The 26,625-nt window shown below is 46.3% G+C and overlaps 2 protein-coding genes and 1 long non-coding RNA gene across 10 annotated transcripts in view, besides 2 other annotated features; 2 read left to right on the top strand and 1 right to left on the bottom strand.

Annotated features, from left to right (window-relative positions):
- The window catches only part of UFD1 (ubiquitin recognition factor in ER associated degradation 1), a 29,283-nt gene extending 13,560 nt beyond the window's left edge, over positions 1–15,723 (top strand). For 5 of the 6 annotated variants that reach the window (XM_047441488.1, XM_047441487.1, NM_005659.7 and 2 more), the window contains 7 exons: positions 360–432; positions 7,495–7,563; positions 8,716–8,781; positions 9,000–9,047; positions 9,866–9,954; positions 10,804–10,885; positions 14,890–15,723. In XM_047441488.1, coding sequence (XP_047297444.1) covers positions 360–432; positions 7,495–7,563; positions 8,716–8,781; positions 9,000–9,047; positions 9,866–9,954; positions 10,804–10,885; positions 14,890–14,964 — 502 coding nt within the window. In that variant the 3' untranslated portion in view covers positions 14,965–15,723. The remainder of the gene's footprint in view (positions 1–359; positions 433–7,494; positions 7,564–8,715; positions 8,782–8,999; positions 9,048–9,865; positions 9,955–10,803; positions 10,886–14,889) is intronic. The other variant, NM_001035247.3, reaches the window with a different exon arrangement.
- UFD1-AS1 (UFD1 antisense RNA 1) lies at positions 13,946–18,200 on the bottom strand. 2 transcript variants are annotated; one of them, NR_186687.1, is made up of 2 exons: positions 17,309–18,200; positions 13,946–14,040 (listed from the first exon to the last, which is right to left on the bottom strand). It is a non-coding gene; the product is annotated as a UFD1 antisense RNA 1 (long non-coding RNA). The 2 variants fall into 2 exon arrangements; NR_186686.1 differs by lacking the exon at positions 13,946–14,040 and adding an exon at positions 15,529–17,192.
- Positions 17,825–18,727: an enhancer, noted in NCBI's record as "NANOG-H3K27ac hESC enhancer chr22:19434430-19435332 (GRCh37/hg19 assembly coordinates)". NCBI's record gives its function as "activates a minimal SCP1, AML or CMV promoter by ChIP-STARR-seq in naive H9 embryonic stem cells {active_cell/tissue: H9 hESC(naive)}" and the evidence as "EXISTENCE:reporter gene assay evidence [ECO:0000049][PMID:30033119]".
- On the top strand, positions 17,923–24,748 carry C22orf39 (chromosome 22 open reading frame 39). Of its 2 annotated transcripts, none has more exons than NM_001166242.2 (3): positions 17,923–17,969; positions 18,089–18,256; positions 23,940–24,748. In NM_001166242.2, the coding sequence occupies exons 1-3, from the start codon at positions 17,946–17,948 to the stop codon at positions 23,988–23,990; spliced, it is 243 nt and encodes an 80-aa protein (NP_001159714.2). In that variant the 5' UTR covers positions 17,923–17,945; the 3' UTR covers positions 23,991–24,748. The 2 variants fall into 2 exon arrangements, with proteins under 2 accessions (NP_001159714.2, NP_776154.4); NM_173793.5 differs by having other exon boundaries at positions 21,244–24,748.
- Positions 17,978–18,377: a silencer, noted in NCBI's record as "silent region_13461". NCBI's record gives its function as "represses an Ori minimal core promoter by ATAC-STARR-seq in GM12878 lymphoblastoid cells {active_cell/tissue: GM12878}" and the evidence as "EXISTENCE:reporter gene assay evidence [ECO:0000049][PMID:35858748]".
- Positions 24,749–26,625: the final 1,877 nt, after the last annotated feature.

Genomic DNA, 26,625 nt, shown 5'->3' with positions numbered 1-26,625 from the left:
TCCTGTCAGTCCCCACCTGATCCCCTGGCCCAGAAACCTCTCAGCTACCTCCCATCCTCATAGATCTGTCTTTCTCAGGGTTCCATGTGGATGGAATCTCACTGCCCTTTTGTGGTTGGTTATTTCCCCTTCCCCCAGCTTGGCATTTGTTACCCCAGCTTGGCATTTCATCCATATTATTGCATATTAGGAGTTCCATCCTTCTTTATTGCCAAGTAGTACTTTATTGTATTAAAAGCTTCGTGTTTCAAGTACCATCATGGTACAGTCTCTACCTACCAGTAATCATCTAACATGGAAACTTGTTTCAGATTAAGGTATCCATCTTGCCATGTTGCCTTGACAGAATGTGTCTGCAGATTAGAAAACGCACTTAGGAACTTTGCCTGTCTGACCACCGGGGATGTGATTGCCATCAACTATAATGAAAAGGTGAGCCCAGTTCATGCAGGTCATTCCTGACAAGAGCCACCTGCAGTGTCCATTCTAATGTTTGAATGGGGCTTCTTTTTAAGCAGCGTATGCCTGGATCTTATCACCTAATTACTGCCTACTGTTTGGTTATTAAGTTTTCCCGGGTTCATATTTAGAGCCCTAATTCATTTGGTAACTCTGTTTTGAGGATAGATTGCATTTACAGGGGAACATTGATAGACTTATTAGTCATACCTCTGTGTACCTTGGTGGCAAGGCTGCTGGTTCTGTCTTGGTTTGAAAGGTCCCCACTGCACCTCTAATCTGAGCTAAGCCCTTTGCAGGGCTGTGGAGACACAATAACAACCCTGCTGGGTCCTTGTCCTTGGGATACCTGCCCCACAGAAGCTGACAGGCCCTTCAGTGGGGCCAAGTGCTGTGTGGCATCTGAGAAGCAAAGCCTGGCTCTGCCTTAGGGCAACACCTCCTAGGCTCACCTCTCCTCCTGGGAGCCCACATCCTCCTCCACCTCCTGTTTTCTTCAGCTTCCGTTTTCACTTAGCAGCTTCTCTAGGCTTGACCTTTCTGACACAAGTCTCTCAGGTCTGAATGCCTCTGTTTTCATCCCTGATTTTATGCTGTTTAGGTGTCTGGATCTAGACAATTTAACTGTAAAGTGAAATGACAGGACTTAGTCCAAAATTCAAGAAAGCATTCACTTTCCTATTACCTATGGGAATATGCCTGCAGGAGGATGTAATAGTTGGCAATCCTGCCATCAGGCTGTCCCACCACAGGCATGGAGCACAGTAATATGGGTGCCCCTGTTCACTGTGACTGTTGACAATTGACCCTCCCACAGAGCTGTTGCCAGGGCTAGCCTTAGTGTTCGGGAGTGACCACAGCCTGGCTTGGCTGGGCTTTCCCTGAAGCTAGCACTTAGCTCCTTCACAGCACTCTCTGGTCCCTTCGGGGACTGGGCCGTCACAGCTGTGTCACAGCTGCCTGTGGTTTAGCCAGTTACTCCCTTGGTGTCAGTGCAGGGATCCAGCTTATTCTCTGGCAGTTTCCTCATATTTGAGGCATCTGACCTTATTTTTCAGTTCCTTGGGTTTCGAATCACACTTTCTTTTTTCCTTTTAATAAACTAAGAAATAATCTTGTTCCCTTTAGCTTTGTGGAGAACATTTTAGGTATCGTTTACCTTAACTGAATACTCTAAGCTTTTATAATTAATTACAGGCAGTTTAATGTTATTGTTTTTAATGTTAAGGTAGTAATACTACATATAACTCCTAAACTGATGATAAAGGATAGTACTGATACTTTGCACTCTAAGGGAGGGTACATTATATAAGAGTGTATGTAAAATTGAAACACAGGTTTGAACTTCCACTTTTAGAAGTAGGGAAAACTAGATCCTCTAATGGGCCCTTCTGATTAATGTACTGTTGTGCTTATAGAGAATTTTAAACACTCTAAGCTGGGTTGCCCTGAGGGCAGATGGCCATATCAGTGCTCTAGTGGGAGATCTGAGTCAGAGATCAGGATTGAACGGGAACCCTTAAAAGCAGTAAAATATACACAGAGGTGGGTGTTGTCATTGTCTCAGGAGAAATAAACAGATCCTCTCTGGAAAAAGCACTCCAGTTTAGTTACGTCTTTGGGATTGCTGTCAATTGAACAAGCAAAGAACACATAATTAAACTACACCAAAGCAGAGACAATAAAAATTAGATCCCTAAGGAAATCAGCATTAGAATTTCTAGATACAAATGTAAAATAATTAGATATAAAATGTTCAAAGATATTTTTTAAAATGGAATTATAATAGCGAGCAACAAAAGGCTATCAAAAATAACCAGAAAGATTTGAAAAACAATGTTAAACAACAGCTATAAAAGAGTTAATGAAAGATGAATCTGAAGAAATAACAGAATTTCACACAGAGGAGCAAGGGGATGGAACATATGAGAGCTTGAGATGTTGAAGACACTGAGAAAGTCAAACATGCCCATTGCAATCCCAGTAGGAAAGAATGGAGGAATTGCAATAATCTGAAGAGATGGTAACTGAAATTGATTTAGAATTGGTGGTCAGCCCATCATGACAGGAAATTTATAATGTATAACAAACAGAATAAGCTACAGGTAGAAAATACCAAATACAGAGAGGTAAGCAGGGAGAAAACACAGTACCTTCAGAAGAACAGCAAGTAGCAGGTCTTTGAATAGCAACAGTTACAGCCAGTATCAAGTAACTATCATCAAAACCTTCCTTAAAGAATAAGGGCAAAGTGAAAATATTTTCAGATGAACCAAATCTGAGAGAGGTTATTTACCAATGGAATTTTAAAAGCATGTACTTTAGGAATAAGCATTATCCTAGAAGGAAAGCAAGAAGGAATAGGGAATAAATAAATTGGCAAATATGAATCCAGGGTAAATGTTGCCATATAAAGCAGTAATAATGTTTAATGTATGAAGCTTAAAAAATGACATCTAAAATGTTGGAAAAGAGTAAGTCTTTAGACTTACTCTCTTTTTTTTTGAGAGAGTCTCTCTTTGTCTCACCCTGGCTGGAGTGCAGTGGCGCGATCTTGGCTCACTGCAGCTACCACCTCCTGGGTTCGAGCAATTCTCCTGTCTCATCTCAGCCACCTGAGTAGCTGGGACTACAGGCATGTGCCACCACTTGCGGCTACTTTTGTATTTTTAGTAGAGACGAGGTTTCACCATGTTGGCCAGGCTGGTCTCGAACTCCTGACCTCAGGTGAGCCATCAGCCTCAGCCTCCCAAAGTGCTGGGATTATAGATGTGAGCCACCGCGCCTGGCCTAGACTTACTCTCTTGAGAGAGTTGTTTAGAATTAAAGTGTTCTCTGTTTACAATTCAATAAAGTTAATAAAAAAGATAGCTGAAGCTGGGTGTGGTAGCTCACACCTGTAATCCCAGCAATTTGGGAGGCTGAGGTGGGTGGATCACTTAAGTCCAGGAGTTTGAGACCAGACTGGGCAACATGGCAAAACCCCATCTCGACAAAAAATACAAAAATTAGCTGGGCATGGTGGCATGCACCTGTAGTCCCAGCTACCTGGGAGGCTGAAGTGGGAGGATCACTTGAGTCCGGGAGGCAGAAGTTGCAGTGAACAGTGACCGTGCCACTGCACTCTAGCCTAGGTGATAAAGCAAGACCTTGCCTCAAACAAAAAAAAAGCAAACCCTGAAAAGTCTACATGCATATTGAATGTTTAAAAACAAATAAAATGAATTAGATAAAGCAAATATCTTGAAAGATAAAACTGTGAAAAATTTTATACTAAGAAATGAGCCAACTTATTTGACATTGATAAATTATTTCCTAGAGAAAAGTGTAATTGAAGTTTGACTAAAGAAAAAAAAAAACAAACAGCCTAAATAATTGTATAGCCAGTCAAGTAATTCAATCAGAAAAATCTTAATCCAGGAAACACAGGCCCAGATGGTTATATATGCAAGTTCTTCCTCACACTCAAGCAATAAATTGCTCTTAGATATTCTAAAAATAGAGAAAGAACATATCCCCCAACTCATTCTCTGAGGTCGGCATAACCTTGATCACCAAAACCACACAAGGATAGGAGAAAGGTAAACTACAGATCATTGTCACTTGATACAGATACATAGATTGTAGATAAAATATTGACAAAAGAATCTGGTCATATATAAGGAAGATTCTATACGGCAGCTGAGTGTAATAAAGCTCCAGTAGTTAAGACACCATATGGCATTGGTTCTGGAGTAGACAAGTAGGCCAGTGGAAGAAAGCTTTATATACAAAGAATCTTGGTCCACCACTGAGGCAGCATTGATGTCACCAGGCAAAGGAGATACTGGGGTTGCGGAATCTGGGATATTGACTATTCCTAAGATGAAAAAACAAATTGAGTTCCTAACTCATACCATAGTCAAAAATAAATTGCAGATGAATGGGTAAATAATATGTGGTACACACATACAATGTAATATTATTCAACATTAAAAAGGAAGGGAATTCTGACACATGCTACCACATGGATGAACATTCTGCTCAGTGAAATAAACCAGATGCAGACAGACAAATACTACATTCCGCTTACATGAGTACTTAGAGTAGTCAAACTCATGGGAGACAGAAAGTAGAATCACCTGGACACCGTGGTTCACACCTGGCATCCCAGCACTTTGGGAGGCCAAGGTTGGAGGATTGTTTGAGCCCAGGAGTTTGAGAGTAGCCTGGGTAACATAGTGTGATCCTGTCACTACAAAAAATTAATGAAAAAATTTTAAAATTAGCTGGGCGTAGTGGCATGTGCCTAGTTACAGCTATTCAGGAGGCTGAGGCGGGAGGATCAGTTGAGTCTGCAGTGAGCCAGGGTCAAGGCACTGCACTCCAGCCTGGGGGACTGAGCAAGACCCTGCCTCAAGGGAAAAAAAAAAAAAAAAAGAATGGTGGTTGCCAGGGCCTCGAGGAAGCAGGAATCAAAAGTGAATGTTTAGAAACGTATAGTAATTTGGCATTGTCATAACCTCCACACACATGGCCACAGAACCAGTACTTGTCTTGGTGAGCTCTGGGCGTCTGGTGTGTGTTGTGTCTTGCTTCTGTGCAGGAGGACCACATGGCAGTCCAGCAGACTGCACATTTTTAAAAACTAGGTCTTCCCAGGTAGTTTGAGGAGCACCAACCTAGAAAATTGGTCCCATAGTTTAAAAAAAAAGTATTTAATATTATGCCAATACATAAAAGTAAATGGAAAATGTCACAGGAATATTTATCCTTACTAAATGCAATAGTACTTCTAGGGTACTGTCTTCCAATTCTTTCCTTTTCAGTTCTGCTTGCAGCCCTGTTGGTTTTATGACCCACTGATTATTTGTGGCCTTTTGAAAACATGAAAACGGTAGAGAAGCATGAGCCAAGCCCTAGGAGACATGTTTGAATGTTTATAGTAGTGTCATTAACACAGCAAAATGATTGGAAACAGGCCGGATGCTCAGTGGATAAGTGGTAGTATATCCACACAATGACAGATCCTTTTTTTATTCCTTATCTATTCAATAATTATGACACTTTTAAAAGTAGATTTGGCCCTGCTTAGGTTTTTTTTTTAAATGGTGGGACTATCCAGACTTTTTAAAATGGTTGTAAAAGCAAGACATACTGGCCGGGCATGGTGGCCCATGCCTGTAATCCCAGCACTTTGGGAGGCTGAGGCGGGTGGATCACAACGTCAGGAGTTCAAGACCAGCCTGGCCAACATAGTGAAACACCATCTCTACTAAAAACACAAAAATTAGCTGGGTGTGGTGGCACGCACCTGTAGTCCCAGTTACTTGGGAGGCTGAGGCAAGAGAATCGCTGGAACCCGGGAGGCGGAGGTTGCAGTGAGCCAAGACCATACCATTGCACTCCAGCTTGGGTGCCAGAGCGAGCCTCCATCTCGAAAAAAAAAAAAAAAAAAAAGCAAGACAGACTTTAGATAAAAGCAAAGAACCTGAAATGATGCAGGAAAAAGTAGATAGGGCCACTTTTAATTTCTATGCTTCTGGAGTTTGTTTGTTTGCTTGTTTGTTTGTTTGTTTTTGACACAGAGTCTCGCTCTGTTGCCCAGGCTGGAGTGCAGTGGCCCGATCTCAGCTTACTGCAAGCTCCACCTCCTGGGTTCACACCATTCTCCTGCCTCAGCCTCCCGAATAGCTGGGACTACAGGCACCTGCCACCACTCCCAGCTAATTTTTTGTATTTTTTAGTAGAGACGGGTCTTCACCATGTTAGCAAGGATGGTCTCATTTGCCTGACCTCGTGATCTGCCCTCCTCGGCCTCCCAAAGTGCTGGGATTACAGGCGTGAGCCACCACGCACGGCCCTGCTTCTGGACATTTTTTATGTGCCTTTTTTACATAGGTGAGGTCATCTTAGACACAAGCAACATGACTGGTTTTACAATTATTTTCCTGTTGGCTGCGTAGCATACCATTGTATAACTGTAAATTTACATATGAAGAAATATAATTCAGCTGCATTTTGAGTATACAGACAGTCCCTGACCATGGTTCTACCTAGAATTTTTCAACTTTATTATGATGCAAACATGATACACATTCAGTAAAAACCATACTTTGAATACCTATACAACCATTCTGTTTTTGATCTTCAGTACAGTATTCAATAAATTACATGAGTTATTCAACATTTTATTATAAAATAAGCTTTATAGTAGATGATTTTGCCCAACTGTAGGCTAATGTATGTGTTCTGAGAATGGTTAAGGCAGGCTGCACTATGATGTTTGGTAGGTTAGGAATATTAATACATTTTTAACTTATAAGTTTATGGGACTTGGTTCCATCATAAGTCAAGGAGCATCTGTACAGTGGTATTAGTGACGTTGGTATGAGCATTCTTAGAATTTTCTCATTGGGTATAGCTAGTTATTTACTTAGAATAAATTTCGAAGGCCGAGTGCGGTGGCTTATGTCTGTAATCCCAGTTCTTTGTGTGGCCGAGGTGGGCGGATCACCTGAGGTCAGGAGTTCGAGACCAGCCTGGCCAACATGGTGAAACCCCATCTCTACAACAATACAAAAATTAGCCAGGTGTAGTGGCACATGCCTATAGTCCCAGCTACTAGGGAGGCTGAGGCAGGAGAAGTGCTTGAACCCTGGAGGCGGAGGTTGCAGTGAGCCAAGATCGCACCACTGCACTCCAGCCTGGGCGATAGAGCGAGATTCTGTCTAAAAATAAATAAATAAAATAAATAGTAAAGTTCCAGAAGTGAACTTTCCAGGTTAAAGGTTGTTAGTGTCTTTTGCAGTTAGCTGTATAACTACCTTGTCTAATTTGAACCATATCTGGGGAACAGCATCTCTTCAGCGATGGGCACAGGGCAGCCTGTCCCTTATGGCAGTGTTGTCACAGCAAGAAGTGCAGCTGTAGGTTGTGTCATGGGCATGAATGCTGTGTCATTCGCAGGAGCCAGTAGAGCCACAGTAACATGGACAGCGACAGCTCCAGTGCTGCCAGGAAACCATCCAACTGATTTCTGTGTTTGCCCCACAGATCTACGAACTGCGTGTGATGGAGACCAAACCCGACAAGGCAGTGTCCATCATTGAGTGTGACATGAACGTGAGTGGCTCTGTCCAGTTACAGTGAGCCTGGGCCCTGGGAGGATGGGCAGTTGGTGACCACTGCAGGCCAGGGTGTCAGGAGGGCATCAAACAGCCCCTGGGACTCTGGGTAAAGAGGAGGAAGATGCTGTCAGAACATCATGAGGAGACTGTGACCTTGTGATCTATCTCAGGGCCAGTTGGGGCAACAGAGTTTGCTGCCAGTGCTGCCATGGTTAGCTCTGACCCGTTGAGGAGTGAATATTCTTTTTTTTTTTGAGACTTAGTTTCACTCCTGTTGCCCAGGCTGGAGTGCAGTGGTGCGATCTTGGCTCACTACAACCTCCACCTCCCAGGTTCAAGCGATTCTCCTGCCTCAGCCTCCCGAGTAGCTGGGATTACAGGCATGTGCCACCAGGCCCGGCTAGTTTTGTATTTTGGTAGAGACAGGGTTTTACCATGTTGGCCAAGCTGGTCTCAAACTCCTGACCTCAGGTAATCCACCCGCCTCGGCCTCCCAAAGTGCTGAGATTACAGGTGTGGGCCACCGCGCCTGGCCGAGGAGTGAATATGCTTAAGAGCTAAGGAAGCGTACTGAACCTTCTGAGTAGGAATGAAGTGCTGATGCACACAGCATCCTGGTTGTATTACTAGGGAATACTGCTGAGCAAAAAAAGCCAATCCCAAAAAGTTACTTCGTTATATAACATCCTCAAAGTGACAGAACTTTCGAAATGGAAGACAGACCAGTGGTTGCCAGGGCTTAGGACTGGTGGAGGGGGCTGGGAGACAGCTGGGTATGGTTATAAAAAGACAACATGGGCAGTCCTAGTGGTGGTGAAACTGTTCTACATCTCAACTGTGGTGGATACATGCCCCACACAGTGATTACATTGTGTAGAACTAAAGATACCCATGAACAAAAACATGTAAAACTGGGGAAATCTGAATAAGAGCAGTGGGTTGTGCCAGTGTTGATATCCTGGCAGCAATACTTTACTGTAATTTTGTAAGATGCTACCGTTGGGAAAACTGGGCAAGTGTACAAGGCATCTTTTGTATTATTTCTTAAAACTGCATGTGAATCTACAGTTGTCTCAATTAAAAACAAAAAAGGAAGCCAAGGGTGGTCATGTCTCAATATTTTACTTTTAAAATCCTGGAAACACAGGTGGACTTTGATGCTCCCCTGGGCTACAAAGAACCCGAAAGACAAGTCCAGCATGAGGAGTCGACAGTAAGTGTTATCCTCAGTGTCCTTTGCTGTCCTGCTGCATGCTGCTTTTGAGTTCCTGGCAGTGGCTCGTGGGTGGCCTCTGCTAGTGTTGGTGTAGTCATATCCTCTGCGTCCCTTCCAGCCATGCTTCCGGGGGACATCCTAGCCGGGGGTGGGGGTGAGAGGGAAGCTGGGTGTCCCCGCTGAGGAGCTCACCTGTTTTTCTTTTTCCCTGTCAGGAAGGTGAAGCCGACCACAGTGGCTATGCTGGAGAGCTGGGCTTCCGCGTGAGTACCAGACCACTTGACTTATATTGCTGTGCCCTCTGCTCCTTGAAATTAGAGCACTCACTCAAGGTGTTCTCCATGATGCTCGATGGACATCAGCAGGGGTTAGGCCTCTGGGTACCTGTGCATATGCAAATCTGCCACTCGCTCAGTTACCAAACCCTTTTGTATCCACTCTCTCCTGGAATCTTCCCAACAGCCCCATAAGGCAGCCCAGATTTTTAAGAATTTCTAACCTACCGAAGAGTTTAAATAGTACAGTAGACATATACTGTTCCCTTAGGTTCACCAAAAGTTACCACATTTGCTTTCTCTCTCTTGTAAATCATGTTTCCTTTTTTCTTTGCCTGTACCATGTAGGTTGCAAACATGACCCTTAGCATAACTACTGGCAAGGCTCCATGGGAAACAGGTGGAGGTGGTTCATGTGTGGGCACTGAGGTGGCAGGAGGTGCCAGGAAGCAGCAGAGAGGGCAGAATGATGGGAAGCTGAGCTATGGGGCAGTCACAACAGTAGCCTTAGCCCACCCATAGAGCTTGAACTGGGTGGCCCTGCAGAGGCAGGGATCAGGTCTTTTAACCCAACACTGACTGCTGGCTGCCCTTGGCCAAGTGGCTGTCTTCAGCTCATGGCCACCCCCTGAGGAACTGGGCAGAGTTCTTAGCTGCCAGCACCCCAGCAGTTGAGGAGTCAGGGCTTCAGTCCTGAAGGGGTCTGCACAGCACCCCCAGCTCACATCCCTGCAGTGATCTCCAAGCAAAGGACATATCGTCCTCACACTTGGGCTTATTATATGACTCACCTACTTCCTGTCTAGGCTTTCTCTGGATCTGGCAATAGACTGGATGGAAAGAAGAAAGGGGTAGAGCCCAGCCCCTCCCCAATCAAGCCTGGAGATATTAAAAGGTAGGTCTGTCCTGGCTCTCCTCCAGGACAGGAGGAGGATCTGTGCCAGCCCGCTGGGGTCGGGCAGCCTCACCCCAGTTCTGGAGACAAAGCCTGGGTCAGTAGTCTCCCAAGGGACTAAAACCCTTAGCTGCTCTCCTTGGTGGGGTGGAGCACAACATGCCCCTCCTTCCACAGTGCCACCCCCAGTACCACTGTGGTCCAGCCTCTCTCCATACCTCTCCATACCCCCAATTCAGCCTCTTCTTGCCCCCACTGGCTTTCCTAAGATGCGAGTCTGATTAGATCTGTCTCTTACTCAAAACCTTTCTGGTCCCTATTTGGTGATCTGCCTATTTTCCTGTTTTGTGACTTGGAATTATTAATCAGGTCACATTATCTCAGTTCCCCTGAAAGTTCCCTGAGGAGCTACCTCAGATGTGCTTCTGTTGCTGGGTCCGGGGACCCACAGCAGACCCTTCCTCTGGTGGCCATGATGGCAGGGGCAGGGCTGAGGTGTGTCAGTTGTCTGTTGTGTGTGTGAAATCAGAATACTGGAGTGAGAGTCTAGCCACCTCAGGGGGTTCTGTGAAGCTCAGGACAGTGACAGTGAGGGCTTCCCAATCCTTCAGATGACCCCTCTCCATAGACAGGTACAGAGCCTAAAGCCCCTGGCCCTATACCCAATATTGATACCAAACCAAGAAGTCAGTTACTTTCTGCTTCCCTCCTGGGAGGATGCCAGGAAGCACCAAAGGGCCCAGGTGGGGTGCAGCAGCATCTTTTCTGCGTTCCTCTTGACTGTCAAAAATGAATTTTAGTCCTTTTTTCCTGGAAATAACATTTCTCTGTCTCTGTCTCTTCTTACAGAGGAATTCCCAATTATGAATTTAAACTTGGTAAGATAACTTTCATCAGAAATTCACGTCCCCTTGTCAAAAAGGTTGAAGAGGTGAGTGTATTTCCTTGTATTTCCTTGGTTGGTAATGAGGAGATTTATTTGCTAGTGATGACTGAAGTTCTTGGCATTCTGAGTAGGGGTGTGCATTAGTCTGTTTCCAAGCTGCTGGTAAAGATGTACCCGAGACTGGGCAATTTACAAAAGAAAGAGGTTTAATGGACTTACAGTTCACATGGCTGGGGAGGCCTCACAATCATGGCAGGGGGCAAGTCACATCTTACATGGATGGTAGCAGGCAGAGAAAAAGCTGGTGCAGGGAAACACCTACTTATAAAACCATCAGATCTCATGAGACTTATTCACTATCATGATAACAGCACGGAAAAGACCCGCCCTCATGACTCAGTTACCTCCCACCGACTCAGTTACCTCCCACCTGGTCCCTCCCACAACACGTGGTAATTCAAGATGAGATTTGGGTGGGGACGCAGCCAAACCACATGAGGGTGTCTGTCATGTTTTCCCTTTCCTAGGGTCCCTCTGCTCCCTGGTGTCCTGTTTTTTTCTGTAGAGCTGGTGTAGGGTGTATGAAACAGAAGACTTGCAGCATGGGGGTCAGGAGCTCTGTCTTGCTCTAGAGCCGACTCCAGGCTCTGTTATCACAGAACTGTGTGCCCTGGGTGGGCTTCGTCTTCCAACAGAGACCTTGAACTTCAAATATAGGCAGCACCTTCTAGCTGAGCAGGGTGGTGGCGGGACAGAGGAAGGCAAGGGCTGAGCATCCTGTAGACATGGGCACTTTGTGGGAATATGGCCAGGCCTGGCAGCAACTGGAACGCAGTCACCTCTTTGTGATGAGGATTTCTACAACACCAGCGCTTCAGACCCATCGCTCTCCTGGTTCCTTTTCTCAAAGGATTGGACCCTTGAGGATCCAGGATCAGGGCAGAGGGCAGATGTACTGAGCCACCCATTCAGGACCAGCTGCTACATGGGAGCCATCCCAATTACTGAACTCTTTTCTCTAGCACTTGGGGTGGTTGGGGACAGAGACCACTGTGAAGTTTGCACACCTGGTCCTACTCACAACCACTTCTGGGCTCAATGTTCAAGTTGAAACAGCATTGGGCATTGGGACCTTTCAGGCTCAGAGGAGCAAACATAGTGGCCAGTCAGACCTCACCCTCCAGCTCCTCCTTCAGGCACCATCCAGGCTTCACCAGCTACAGGCTGCCTTTCTCACTAAAAGCCAGTGCCTGACTCCGACCTAAGACCTTAGCATGGGACGTCCCCCAGGCTGACTGTGACCTGACTGTTGCAAATTTACAGAAGGCAGGGGAGGCCAGTGGGCACAGCAGGCCTGTTTGACCATAAATATGTATTTAAGAAGTATATGTTTAAAGATGGGATTGAAGACATATTTAGCTCTATTCCATCCTGCAGCCCCACTAAGGCTGTGGCTAAAGGTCATGAGGTAAGAAAGACAGTGGAAGAGGAGGCAACTACAAGGCTTTGGAAGCCCCAGGTACCTTAGTAGACCATAGAAAGCCTAGAAGCAGTTCTGTGTAGATTGTGGAATTCTCAAAAGGCACCTCTAGAAATGAGGGACTAAAGACAGAATTCTGTTACTAAGCAGTTAGAGCTGCATTACCCTCCCTCCCCCATCCCAGAAGGCTGGAGGCTCGACTCCAGTAGGTCTCTAGACTACTATCTCTGAAGTGAAGGCCACAGTCAGAAAGCTTTCCATTCCAGCATCTAAATAATAGAGGATTTGTGGGAAGAACAGCCACAGAAACCAAAGGAGCAGAAATCATCAGGGAAATAGTTTCCCCAAAGATGGGCACAATTTTGCAGATTTGAAGGGCTCACTGAGTTCCAGCAAAATGAATGAAAATAGCCCCACTTTGAGGCAAAGAAAGATCCTAAAGCTTCTAGAGAGAGAACAGAGGTATCACCATGCATTAAGGACATCATCAGCCAAGCGCCATGGCTCACACCTGTAATCCCAACACTTTGGGAGGCTGATGCGGGAAGATCATCTGAGCCCAGGAGTTTGAGACCAGCCTGGGCAATATAGGGAGACCCTGTCTCTACAGAAAATTTTAAAAATTAGCCAAGCATGGTGGCACGCACCTATAGTCCCAGCTACTTTAATGCTGAGTTGGGAGCATCACTTGAGCCTGGGAGGTGGAGGCTGCTGTGAGCTGAGATCACACCACTGCACTCCAGCCTGGGTAACAGTAAGTCCCTGTCTCCCAAAAAAAGGGACATCATCTTAGCAGGACACAGAGGAAACTAGAAGATAGTGGAGCAATATACTCAAAATTCTGAGGGGAAATTTTTTCCAACCTAAAATTCTGTACCAACTCTTATGAGCTGGATTGTGTCCCTCCAGTGTTTCTGTGTTGAAGCCCTAACCCCCAGTAACTCAGATAGGGCCATTTAAAGAAGCAATTAAGTTAAAATAAGACCATTAGAGTTGGCCATAATTCAATCTGGTGTCCTTTTAAGAAGAGGAAATTTGGACATAGGAAGGGCCATGTGAGGACACAGCAAGAAGGCAGCCATCTGCAAGCCAAGGAAAAGGGTGTCAGAGGAAACCAAACCTGCTGACACCTTGATCCTGCACTTCTAGCCTCCAAAACTATGAAGAATAAATTTCTGTTGTTTGAGCCACCCTATCTTTGGCATTTTATATGGCAGCCCTAGCAGACTAACATACCAACCAGCCTATCAATGAAATATGAGATTAGAAAAAAGGAACTCACAAGAAGATAATCCTCATGCATCTTTTCTCAGGAAGCTCCTAGGAGGTGTTCCTCACTAAAATGAAGGAATAAGGTAGAAATAAGAAAGTCATAGAATCCAGGAAATAAGGAGCCCCCACTAACATGTACGGCACCTAGAGAAAGGCCAGTCCAGGTACGGCAGGGCGAAGGCCCAGGAGACACAGGTTTGTCAAAACAGATGAACTCCATGCAATGCAGGCTGTGATTGAATAGAGGAAGAAGCCAAACACAGCTATTGACACCAGGATGAATGGAAGGCTGTGCGGCAAAGGAAGACTAAATGCAGCTGTGACTCAAATTTACATGAATGTGACCACATAAATACTAAACAGTGCTCTATTGCAGGTATAACATGCTACAGTTAGTGGGGAGCCAGGTGCAGGGATGTGTGTTGAACATTCCAGAATCCTCTTCTTCCTAGGGAAAAGTTGAGATAATGCCTCAGACTGACTAGCAATAAAAGCATGTGAAAAAAAATATGTGCAGTTTTCAAAGGTTTGGGAAAAAACAATCCCTCTTTCTGCTGATGGAAGGATAGCTTAGTGGAATGTTTCTGAGGGCTGGTTGGTCTCTATATGTTAAAAGCATTAAAAGTGTGTACACACTTTGACCCAGGAATTTGAGCTCTAAAAAAAATCAGAGTTGTGTGCAAATACATTAAGCTGCTTACCACAACAATGTCCACTGGTAGAAAACTGGCCCTCCTACATCATGGAATTCTTTTTTACAGAATTCAGTTCTGTAGCCTTGGGAGTATACTAGACAGGAAGTTTATTGGCATGAGATTTCAGAATTAAGTGGGAAAACAATTCTTTAAGCATGTACAGAAAAGTGACCTGAAATGTTTTTGGGTGATGAACTTACAGACTTTTTTTTTTTTTTTTTTTTTTGAGGCAGGGTCTTGCTCTGTTGCTCTGCCATCCAGGCTGGAGCAGTGGCACAATCATAGCTCACTATGGCCCTGGCTCAAACCATCCTCCCGTCTCAGCCTCCCAAGTAGCTGGGATCATAGGCACATACCACACTGAGCTATTTTTGGTAGAGATGGGATCTCACTATGTTGCCCAGGCTGGTCTTGAACTCCTGGGCTCAAGTGATCCTCCCACCTAGGCCTCCTAAAGTGCTGGGATTACAGGTGTCAGCTATCGTGTCCAGCCTGAGATATTTCTTATGAGTAATGTGGATGGTACGTGAGTCCATAGAGTAAGGCATTTATTGTAAACCTCCAGGGAGTTTCTGAAAATAGTATCTTCTCTTCAAACCTAGGATGAAGCTGGAGGCAGATTCGTCGCTTTCTCTGGAGAAGGACAGTCATTGCGTAAAAAGGGAAGAAAGCCCTAAGTGAGGACTGTTGGCTGATTGGAAAATAATAAAAGAATCATTTGCAACATCTTGGCTTTTAGTTACTGGCACTGACAGGGACGAGCCTCATCAGAGAATACTCTGTTACTTAAGATTTATTTAGAGTTACCTAAGAATTATTAAGTTTGACTTGGAAGTGGAGCAGCAGGACTTTGTAGTTGTATGCTTGATTTGGGGAAAGACAAAGAGCTGTCCCTGAGGGCCTGTAGATAGCTGCCTCCTCACCTCTTCACGCTTTCAGCTTGAGGGGAGCTCCCACTGCCTCAGCAGGAGCAATTCTGCATCCCTAATTCTGTCAAAACCTATGAAGGTGACTAAATTGTCTAACATGAAGTGTTCTTTCTTTTTCTTCATTTATCCTTTCTTTTCCTACATCAATTGCATAGGTGTCAGTCTTTGGCCTAAAAAAAGGCTTTAAATAGACATGTGTTCTATAAGTAGTGGCTGTCCCACTACTGTGGCTGCAATTTAAGTATTTGACAAAGAATGTTTCTATTTTTATTTTACATATTTTTTTCAAAAACACCACTCAGAAGAACCTGATCTGAATGAGTTTGCACTTTTATTCTCATTTCATATGGACATAACTGGCTCCTTAGTGAACCTGTTCATAGTGAAACAACTCCATGGAGAAGCAAACATGTGAATGTTAGAATGAACAAATGCTAAAGAGATGTTCCTCTCCTTCTTCCCTACTCCCCAACTCCCAATTTTAATTTATTAAATCATCCAAGCTTCTGCTGGCCTGTATTTTTTATCAGTATTTATTTGGTCTTAGATCTTCACTTTCTATAACGTGAGATCTTTTGACATGCTAATCTGATTATTTTAAATTTGTTCCCATGAGCCACTGTGCCTGGCCCCATTGGGAATAATTCTAAGCCAAGAATTTCAAGTAAAAACAGGCAATAACTAAAGCCTAAATCTAAATGTTTGATTAGGTACTAACACAGACTGGTGGTTGGGCCTCTGACCATAACTGAAGGCCTGTTGGCAGGTGCTCCGTGTTCCATCTCACCATTAGAAAAGTGTCCCTCTGGGGCTTCTCCTGGAGAAAGTAGGAAGAAACAAGGCTGCCTGATCCCTAGGTGGCAATGGCTAAGCCCAGCAGGGTCCCCCATGAGCCAGGGCTAACCCTGCTTCCAGACATGGGGGTCCTGCCCTGGTCAGGGCCCCTCCAACACTCCAGAGAGGAGAGAATGGTGGCCCCAGGGTCTATCCACGTCTTCAGTGAAGAGTGTCTATGAGTGTCATGATGTTCAGTACTTGGCCTGTGGCACAAACCATCATCACTGGAAATGGGCGTGGTTTTGGAAGGCATGAGCACTGTGGGGACTTACCTGAGCCTCCACTGACAAAGTCTCAGTTTTACTAGCAGAGGGAGAAACCCTTGGTGGGTAGACAGCCTTCATTTGCAGGATCACATCAGCTAACAGACTGTCACTTTATGCATAATGAAGAATGTTACAGTACCTCTGGCTCTGGGTTTTTGTCTTCACTAAGCAACACCTGCTGTGTATGCAGTGAAACGCCTGGTCCTTTGCTGGAGGCACACTCCCCTGCCTGGACCAGGATGGATTCCATTGCAGAGCCTTTTAATGACACAGTGGGGCCAGTTGGAGCACTGATCCTGGTCATTACTCCTGCACCCTGGCCTGCAGCCTTCCTCTCAGTGTCTTATTTGGGCTTGGTCCTTGAGCCGGCTGCCTCAACAGCAGGACCCCTGGTAAAACTGCAGCTTTCTGATCCACCTCCAGGGAGTCTGTCCCAGTGTCATTCCTGGGACTGGCCCAGCAGTCCCAGGATTTGTATCAGTGGATACTGAGGATTTGTTATCAGTGAAGTGGGAGAACCGCAGCATAGGTACTGCAGGGCGTTTCTGCAAGCCCACCAGCCTCCTCTTTACTTGCCTTTGTTGCCTCTTGTGCATTGCTCCTTTTTATAAACGTCCCAGCCAGGCACTGGCGCTCCGCCTATAATCCTAGCACTTTGGGAGGCCAAAGTGAGAGGGTCGCTTGAGGCCAAACTAGCCTGGGTAACTTAGCAAGACCCCATCTTTACAAAAAAAAAAAAAAAAAATTAAAAATTAGCCTGGTGAGGCTGTGCATGCTTTTGGTCCCAGCTGTTCGGAGTCCAGGAGTTTGAGGTTGCAGTAAGCCATGAACACGCCACGCCACTGCACTAAGCCTGGGTGACACAGCAAGACCCTGTCTCGAAAAATGAATAAGGTAAATGTTACATGTCTCCCGCACCCTTAGAATAGAACTACAGACATCCAAGCCACTCCTACCCCGCTCACCCCTGCTACACACCGCCTCCATACCTTTGACCGGCCTATGGCTGTACTCGGATTGCATTCTCAGCCTCCACTTCAAGCCTGCGTTCCCTGGGGAGGTCATTCAACCCTAGATCCACCATATGTCATGCCCAACCAATCTCAGTTACTTTGCGAGTTCACCTCCATCCTGAGTGGACGCTCAAGCAAGACTGCTGGAGCTGCAGATCTGGGAGGTTCGCTGCACCACCTTGATGCTCAGTATGTACTTTTGAAAATATACCGGATTGTTGAGATTTGAGAAAATCTCATAAAGCTGCTGAAAAGAACTGGCCAGAGCCGTGTGATTTGAGAGGCGGCTGACGTAAGGTAGCTGCGCGGCCCAGGATGCCCGCCTGGCCCGGGGTGAATGGCGCTGTCGTCGCGGTGGTCGCGTAGGCTTCGCGCCAGGTCTCGCCCCGGATTTACCCTGCGACCCCGGCCCTCCGCGCGCGCCGCAGCCGCCCTCGGTTGCTATTGGTTGCTCGTCCTGTTTGTCGGCGCTTCTCGAAGAAGGGGGCGAAGACGTGATTGAATGTGTCGGTGCTCATTAGTTCTTCTGTCAGTCGATCACGAGGTGCCGTTTTCTTCATTTTTCATTGGCTGGCGGACTGAGGGGCGGGCTTGGCGCGCCGGTCGCCCAGACATGGCGGACGGCAGCGGCTGGCAGGTGAGTGTGCTGGGTCGGAGCCGGGAACCACCGGGGTCTTCCGGAGGGAGGGAACGGGACTGGCTCGGGGCGTAGGGCGCGGCCGCCGGGCCCCGCTCAGGCGCCGCCTCTCGCCGCAGCCGCCGCGCCCCTGCGAGGCCTACCGCGCCGAGTGGAAGCTCTGCCGCAGCGCCAGGCACTTCCTACACCACTACTACGTCCACGGCGAGCGGCCGGCCTGCGAACAGTGGCAGCGCGACCTGGCCAGCTGCCGCGACTGGGAGGAGCGCCGGAACGCCGAGGCCCAGGTGCGCCGGGAGGGAGCGGGGCGGCGCTTCGGAGCGCCTTGCGGGGCCCAGCTTTCCCCACCCCTCCACGCCCCATGCCCCGCGACCTAGCCGGGGACTGACGGGGTCCCTATCCTCCTCACGCTTCCTTTCTTTTGAGAGATTGTGTAAATTAGCATATCAACAGGACTTTCAGAGGGCGTGAAAGACAAAGGAGGAGACCAGCGAGGAGGGGGTGTAGAGTGGTTTAGAGAGGGAAGAGGGCAGCCGTCCGGTGTTAGGGTCATCAGCTGGCCTACGCAGGAGGTGATGTTGCTGAGTCCTGAGTGACCAGGAGCCAGCCTTCATCCAGCCCCGGTAGACACCGCTGAGAAACAGATAAGGCCTGGGTTCCTGAAGCAGAGGGTAGGTGGATGGTTGGAGAGCGGTATACCAGGGACCTGGCGGGCCTTTTGATACGGAGTTTAGAGTTTAGTCTAAAGTGTGCTGGGAGGCATAATTCGATTTATATCTTTAAAAGATCAGTCTGTTAGCAAAGTGTGGTGGCGTGCACCTGTGGTCCCAGCTACTTGGGAGGGTGAGGCGGGAGGATCGCCTAAGCCCAGGAGTTCAAAGCTGCAGTGAGCTATGGTCACACCACTGCACACCAGCCTGGATAACAGAGGGAGACCTGTCTCAGGGGGGAAAAAAAAGAGAGAGGGTAAAAGAAGTTCAATCTGTTTGCTAGGGTGTAGAGAATATATTACAGGAGCAGAGAGACCGGTAAGGAGGTGGTTCTAGTTGTTTTTTCGTCCAGCAAATATGTACCACATTGGGTGCTCTTGGGGATGCACGAGTGATAAGAAGAGTCTCTGCCCTCCTGGCACCCACACTGTAGTGTAGAATACAGTGCTACGGTGGACCCCTTGTGGGAGAGGAGATGGAGAGAAGCCAGCCGAAAGGTGCGAGGCTCATGGGGAGTGCCAAGGAATGAGAATCAATGGGACTGATCAACACTTCAACATTATTAAGTGTATACAGTGATCTGAAAGAGATGAACTGATGTGGAAACCAGACTGCTGTATAAAAGAAAATGATGACTATTCCATAATATGTGAAAGTCAAAAAAAGTAAGAAAGCTGACAGCTTATATAGCAAGAGATTGATAACTTTAATGTATATATATGTGCGTGTGTGTGTATAAAGAGCTGTTATATATATATCAATAAGAAATATAGGGATTATTTCAGAATGGAAAAATGGCCAAAGGACACAAAGAAGCAATTCATTAAAAAAGAAAGCCAGCTGGGCATGGTGGTGGGCACCTGTAATCTCGGCACTTTGGGAGGCCGAGGCAAGGGGATCGCTTGAGCCCAGGAGCTTGAGACCAGCCATGGGCAACATGGTGAGACTCCATCTTTATAAAAATAATAAAAAAGGAGAAAAGCCTGGGCATGGTGGCTCATGCCTGTAATCCTAGCACTTTGGGAGGCCGAGGTGGGCAGATCACCTGAGGTCAGGAGTTTGAGACCAGCCTGGCAACATGGCGAAACCCCATCTCTACTAAAAATACGAAAATTAGCCACGCATGGTGGCAAACACCTGTAATCTCAGCTACTCGGGAGGCTGAGATAGGAGAATTGTTTGAACCTGGGAGGCGGAGGTTGCAATGAGCCGAGATCGTGTCACTGCACTCCAGCCTGGGCAACAGAGTAAGACTCCCTCTCAAGAAAAAAAAAGAAAAAATCAAATGGCCAGGTGTCAGGTATATAAGTCTAAATGACAGTAACAGCAGAAAGTGGTGTTGATAGAGGTTTGAAGAATTCTGGGTAGTTGTGCAGTGTTGGTGGGGGTGTCAGGTGTTCTGATTATGTAAATGTCAGATACATACCTTTTGACCTTAAGTTTTACTTCTGGAACTTTATCCCAGGGAAGTAATTGGATAACAGTGTACAGTTAAAAGTTAGAATGCTAATTATGTTTTTGATACTGCAAAAGCTGAAAACAACCTAAATTTCACTAATAGACATTTGACCAAATAGCTTTTTCCACAAAGTGAAATACCAGATAGCCTTTGAAAAGAATGGTCGGTCATCTCCCTGGGTATGGAAAAGTGCCTACAGTGTATTGTTTAGTGAAAAGAAAGCAGGAAGTAGACTAGCCAGCAAAAGATTATCCTATCTTTAGGGAAACATGTTAGCTCTAAAATGTGGACCAAAAAAAGATATCAGGGAAGCTGTTAACTGCCGCATTGGGAATGGACATTTGGGAATCTTTAATATTCTGTACTACATTTCTGATAGCTTTTTAAACACGATCAAAATATTTTATTTGAGGCAATAGAGCTTGAACAAAGACAGACATGTAGACAGATTAAGTTATCTGTGTAAAGAGGCTCACATAGCACCTGATACCTACCAAGGGCTGACAGCAAAGGTCACCCATGTTGTGATACACTGACTTGTGTCTGTATTGGGAGACAGTAGCCAAGAGAAGCTGATGGGTTAAGTGGCACTTGTGGCACCACTCAGGCGGGTGGTCTGTCCTCTGGACTCTTCCCACCCTTCCAGGATACCCAGGACATGTATTTCTTCCCCGTCTTCCTCCCTTCTCCCTAACACACTCCTCCCTGCAGCTCCCCACAGCTGCTCTCTCAGACTCTTCTCTCCTCTCCACCCAGCACCCCCAGGCTCACTCTCAGCAGGTGAATATGCCCCAGACTCACGAGGTCAACCAGAGCCATTGAGCCCTGAGGTCCAGGAGAAGATATTTAAAAATTCCTCAAATTATTATGACCTATTCAGTAGTTTTTCACAGTAGCTTGTGAGAAAAAAAATGATCTCCATCTCTGTGCGCTAATATGGAAGAATCGCCAAGGTATAGTAGGTGGAAGCAGCTGTGCTGCAGAGTGGTGTGTACCATAGGCCCTGCCTGTCCATCTGTGTTTCAGAGGGTGATGAGAGGGGGGAGGTACAGGGGTCTTGAGGGTGCTCAGAGCCTGGGGAGTGACTAGAGTCTCATTTGCACAGCAATCCCTCTGTGAGAGCGAGCGGGCACGAGTCCGGGCTGCACGGAAGCACATCCTGGTGTGGGCCCCGAGGCAGAGCCCCCCTCCAGACTGGCATCTCCCTCTGCCACAGGAGAAGGACGAGTGACAAGCATCCCTGCCATTGGCCTGTGCAGCTTCCTCAGTCTGTTTCAAGTTGCTGTTGCACAGCCCTGGGGACTGTGACCAGCCTACACAGTCTGGTGGGTCCCTGTGAGCTCTTGCTCACAGGAACATGGAGCAGGACATTGCTAGCCCTACTTGCCCACCCCTCACCTGCATGCAGGATACCCTGACACTGCGATGTTCTGCAGGACAATTGCACCGCTTTAGAGCTTCCAGGAGGCCAAGCATTATGGCAGGTACTTGTGAGCAGCCAGGTCAGGCTGGGCATGGTAGCATAGGAGATGGCGGTCCTGAGGTCTAGGCTTCTCAGGTAAACTGAAGGGTAGCCCTGACCTGTGTGGACACACAGGTGGGTCATAATGAGGTAGCTAAACAGTTGTGCCACTGTGAATGTCTTTCCTAGTCCTTGGGAAACTGCCTGCCACGTCCCAGGTTTGGTGAGCATTGTGAGTGCTCACACTCTGCTCCACTCGCTCAGTTCCACTGCACATGCAGGCAGGTGTGCCGAGCAGGTAGGGCTTGCTGGCCCCTCTGCACCAGCAGGCTTCACTTCTTAGGCTCCCAGGTCGGCCCCTGGAGACTCTGGTTTTTAAGAAATGCACACAGCTACAGAACACACAACCTTGCATAAAGAGGGTTTGTGGACTCAGCTGAAGAAATCCAAGTCCAAGACATATGGAATTAAGCACTCCTTCCCTCAAAATTTCCCCTGGTGGTTAATGTATCAAAAGCTATTTCATCTGATTTCAAATAGAAGCTGAAAATTAAGTTCACACTTGTTAGATTTTGTGTGTAACAGTGTTGTACCTGGACAGTATTAGAAATTTGTATGCTTATTCTCTTGTTAAGTGTTTTAAAATGTATGAACCACCAAAAACACTATTTCTTGAAGAGGTCTGTTTATTACTAATAGAATGGTTTCTCATCCTATGGTGGCCCTGTTGTGTGATGCTGAGGGCTAGGCTGGGTCTGTGCCCAGCACCCTCCCTGCTCTCTTCCTGGACACAGGCAGCAAGTTGAATATCTTTTAATTTGTTCTTTGGGGCAGAATAATCTATCACGTTAGAAGGGTGTCCATTAAAGAACAGTATTTCCCTGCTTGAGTGTGTTTTCTCCTGTGCTCCCTAAGAGCCCCTGTGTCTGTGAACAGTGGGGGTGGGGGTGGGGGTTGTGCTCACGGGATCCCAAGAGCAGGAGCATCTAAAGAGGAGCCAGCGTTCCCCCATCATCAGGGGAGTACTGATGTGTCTAAGGCAACCAGGGTGCCTCCAGCATGGCTGTGGCTGGTTTAATAATGAGCATTTCCACCCAGTGAGGGAAGAGAGGAAGACTGCTAGAGATCTACAAGGTTTTTCTTACTCTTAAACACAGGGACGGGGCATCTGAATTTGCAGTCTGCTGTAATCCCAGCACTTTGGGAGGCCAAGGTGGGTGGATCACTTGAGGTCTGGAGTTTGAGACCAGCCTGGCCAACATGGTTGAAACCCCCCATCTCTATTAAAAATACAAAAATTAACTGGGCATGGTGGCACGTGCCTGTGATCCCAGCTACTCGGGAAGCTGAGACAGGAGAATTGCTTGAACCCCAGAGGCAGAGGTTGCAGTGAGCTGAGATCGTGCCACTGTACTCCAGCCTGGGCGACAGAGTGAGACTCTTGTCTCAAAGATAAAATAATAAAATGAGTTTGCAGCCTGCATGTGATGCCTGGGATTGCAGCAGCTGCCTTCAGGTTCCTGGGGCAGAGCTGGAGAGTGCAGCAAAAGCCAGGGCATGCCAGCCAGCACCCCAGTCCATGAGGGGCTTCCCCTCAGTGCAGCCACGCTCCCTGCCACCTGCTTGTTTAGCAAGGTATGCATTGTGCGGCTGCATGCTCTGTTAGGAAGCATTAAGTCCTGCCTCTGTAGTGTGACTATCATGTTTTGCCTCCTCCTTCACTACTCAAGTTCCACATCAACAGATAATCTCTCTGGACAGGATGTTCCTGCATTTGTTTCTATGTCAATTGCTTCACAACATCTGAGTGTCCACATGTTGGACAGGGTTTGAGGCTTATAAGACCACAGTTTTGAAACAGACAAGTTGTCTTCAAAGAGTTTCTGTTGTAGTTTGGGTAAAAGACAGACATTAAACATCAATAAATAGGAATTTAAAACGGTGGCTGGATGTGGTGGCTCACGGCTGTTATCCCAGCACTTTGGGAGGCTGAGGTGGGAGGATTGCTTGAGCCCAGGAGTTCGAGACCAGCCTGGGCAACGTAACAAGACCCCATCTCTACAAAAAATAAATGAGCTATGCATGGTGGCGTGCATTTGTAGTTCCAGCTACTTCGGAGGCTGAGATAGGAGGATTGTTTGAGCCCAGGAGTTTGAGGCTGCAGTGAGCCATGATTGTGCCCCACTGCACTTCAACCTGGGTGACAGAGCAATATCCTGTCTCAAAATAAATAAAAATAAAATGGTGGTAATTTCTGAAGCAGTTTGGTATTTTATGGTGGTGGTATGAAGAAAACAAATACTGTAATAAGAGCAATATCTTTCAAACTTTTTGGACAGGTGCTAAGTGTGGTGGCTCACACCTGTAATCTCAGCTACTTGGGAGGCTGAGGCAGAAGAATCACTTGAGGATAGGAGTTTGAGGTTGCAGTCAGCTATGATCGTGCCACTGCACTCCAGCCTGGGCAACAGAGCAAGACCCCATCTCTAAATAAATGTTTTAAAAATAAAAATAAATGTTTTGGATAAAACCCCATATTAATAATAAGTATTTTACATTATTATCTGGCATAGACTGTTATATATAGCATATTATTGTTGAAATACAAAACAATATGTATCCGTACTGTATGTGATATAGTGCCATTTTCAGTAACTGCTGTACACACAGCAACTCAGATGAAACTCAAGGAAATTCTTCAGAGCAAAAACAGCCAATCTTGAAAACATACATGTAGCAGGATTCCATTTATGTAACATTGGTGAAATAATGTAATTATAGAGATGGAAAACAGATTAAAGGTTACCAGGGGTTTAGGTTAGGGATGGTGAGGGGGTGGTTCATACGAGGGAGTCCTGTGGTGTTGAAAACCATCTGTCAGCCTGACTGGTGGTTACACAGGGCTATACATGAAGTTAAAATTGTGTAGAGTTAGGTACACAAAGGAGTACAGATGTAACTGGGGAAACTGAGTATGTTCTGTAGACTGTACCAATGTCAATTTCTGCGTCCTGATGCTGTGCTGTAGTGTATAAGGTGTTAACATTGGGGGAGGCTGGGGCAAGGGTACCCAGGACCTCCCTAGACAACCTCCTATGCAACCTCCTGTGAATCTATAATTACTTCAAAATAAAAAGTTGAAAACAAACTGTCGGCCATGACCTACCAAACTGATTTTACAACCTAACAGATGAAACCTACTGTTTAAAAAAAAACACTGCTATCAAGCACCTGTGCTGGACACTTACCTTGGGCGGGGAGGTGGGGAAGGCCTCAGTGTCTGAGCCCAGACCTGGGTGAAGAGGCTCAACTCCTGTCAGGCAGAGAAAGGGACCCACAAAGGCAAAGGGACCTGACACCATGTTTTGACCAGAGCGGGTGCTGTGAGCTGTGATCAGGAATCTGGGTATGCGATTCTCTGGGTGGCAGGTAGCCAAAGACCTGACCTGACCTGGTTCTAGAGACCTCTGGCTGCTGTGTGGAGAAGGGATGGGGTGGTTAGATCAGTTGGCCACTGCAATAGAACAGGCAAAAACTGACGATGACGTGGACCTCAGAGGCAGCAGTGGAGGTCATGAAAAGTGGTTCCATTCAGCATTTGTCTCAGGTGGGGCCAAAGGACTTAGAATCCTTAGGCAACATTTTTATCCAGGACTGATAAGAGTTTTAAAACGAAGTTTTTTTTTTTTTTTGAAAAAAGCAGTAGTCCCAGCTACTTGGAAGGCTGAGGTAAGAGGATCGCCCAGGCTATGGAAAGGACAGTCTTTTCAACAAATGGTTGATGCCTGGAAACTGGATATCCAAGAGTGAAGTTGGACCCTTACCAAACGTCATATACAAGTTAACTCAAAATTGACCGAAATTGTAAGAGCTTAAAATTAAATATAGGGAATATCTTCACAACGTTGGATTTGGTAGTAGTTTCTTGGATATGACACCAAAGTCATCAACATTAAAAAGAAAAAAATAGATAAATTGGACTTCATGAAAATTAAAGGCACTAAATTTCACATCAGAAGACTATTGGCCGGGCATGGTGGCTCACTCCTGTAGTCCCAGCACTATTGGAGGCCGAGGTGGAAGGATCACTTGAGCCCAGGAGTTCAAGACCATCCTGGGCAACATAGTAAAACCCTGCCTCCATTCCTTATAGAAAAAATTTTTTAAAAAACACACTATCAGGCCAGGCACCGTGGATCATGTCTGTAATCCCAGCATTTCAGGAGGCTGACATAAGGGGATTGCTTGAGGCCAGGAGTTCAAGACCAGCTTGGACAATATAGCAAGACCCCATCTCTACAAGTTTAAAAAAAAAAAAGGTAGCTGGGCATGGTGGTGTCTGTAGTCCTAGCTACTCAGGAGGCTGAGGCAGGAGAATTGCTTGAGCCCAGGAGTTTGAGGTTACAGTGAGCTATGATTGCACTACTGCACTCTAGCCTGGGTGACAGAGCAAGACCCTATCTCTTAAAAAAAAAAAAAGACACATCGACAGAATAAAAAGGCAATCCACAGAATGGGAGAAAATATTTGCAAATCATATCTCTAATAAGAGATTAATAGAATTATAGAGAACTCCTAAAACTCAATGAGAAAAAAAGTTCAAAAATGGGCAAGGGGCCGGGCACTGTGGCTTAGGCCTGTAATCCCAGCACTTTGGGAGGCTGAGGCAGGCGGATCACCTGAGGTCAGCAGTTCGAGACCAGCCTGGCCAACATGGTGAAACCCCGTCTCTACTAAAAATATAAAAATTAGCCAGGTGTGGTGGCATGCACTTGTAATCCCAGCTACTTGGGAGACTGAGGCAGGAGATTTGTTTGAACCCGGGAGGCAGAGGTTGCAGTGAGCCGAGATTACGCCACTGTACTCTAGCCTGGGTAACAGGGTGAGACTGTTTCAAAAAAAAAAAAAAAAAAAAGACAAGGACTTGAATAGACATACAAATGGCCAAAAAGCACATAAAAAGATGCTCAACATCACTGACCATTAGGGAAATGCAAGTCAAAACCACAGTGAGATACCACCTCA

The sequence above is a fragment of the Homo sapiens genome, chromosome 22 (assembly GCF_000001405.40).
Source record: "Homo sapiens chromosome 22, GRCh38.p14 Primary Assembly".
Taxonomy (NCBI): Eukaryota; Metazoa; Chordata; class Mammalia; order Primates; family Hominidae; genus Homo; species Homo sapiens.
This window is presented reverse-complemented; position numbering and strand designations above follow the sequence as displayed.

Bases quoted from the DNA above. Each gene is read 5' to 3' on its own strand.
- C22orf39 (NM_173793.5), top strand. From the start codon at position 17,946: ATGGCGGACGGCAGCGGCTGGCAG. The intron at 17,970-18,088 runs GTGAGTGTGCTG...CTCTCGCCGCAG, and splicing joins CGGACGGCAGCGGCTGGCAG to CCGCCGCGCCCCTGCGAGGC. The intron at 18,257-21,243 runs GTGCGCCGGGAG...TCATTTGCACAG, and splicing joins GCCGGAACGCCGAGGCCCAG to CAATCCCTCTGTGAGAGCGA.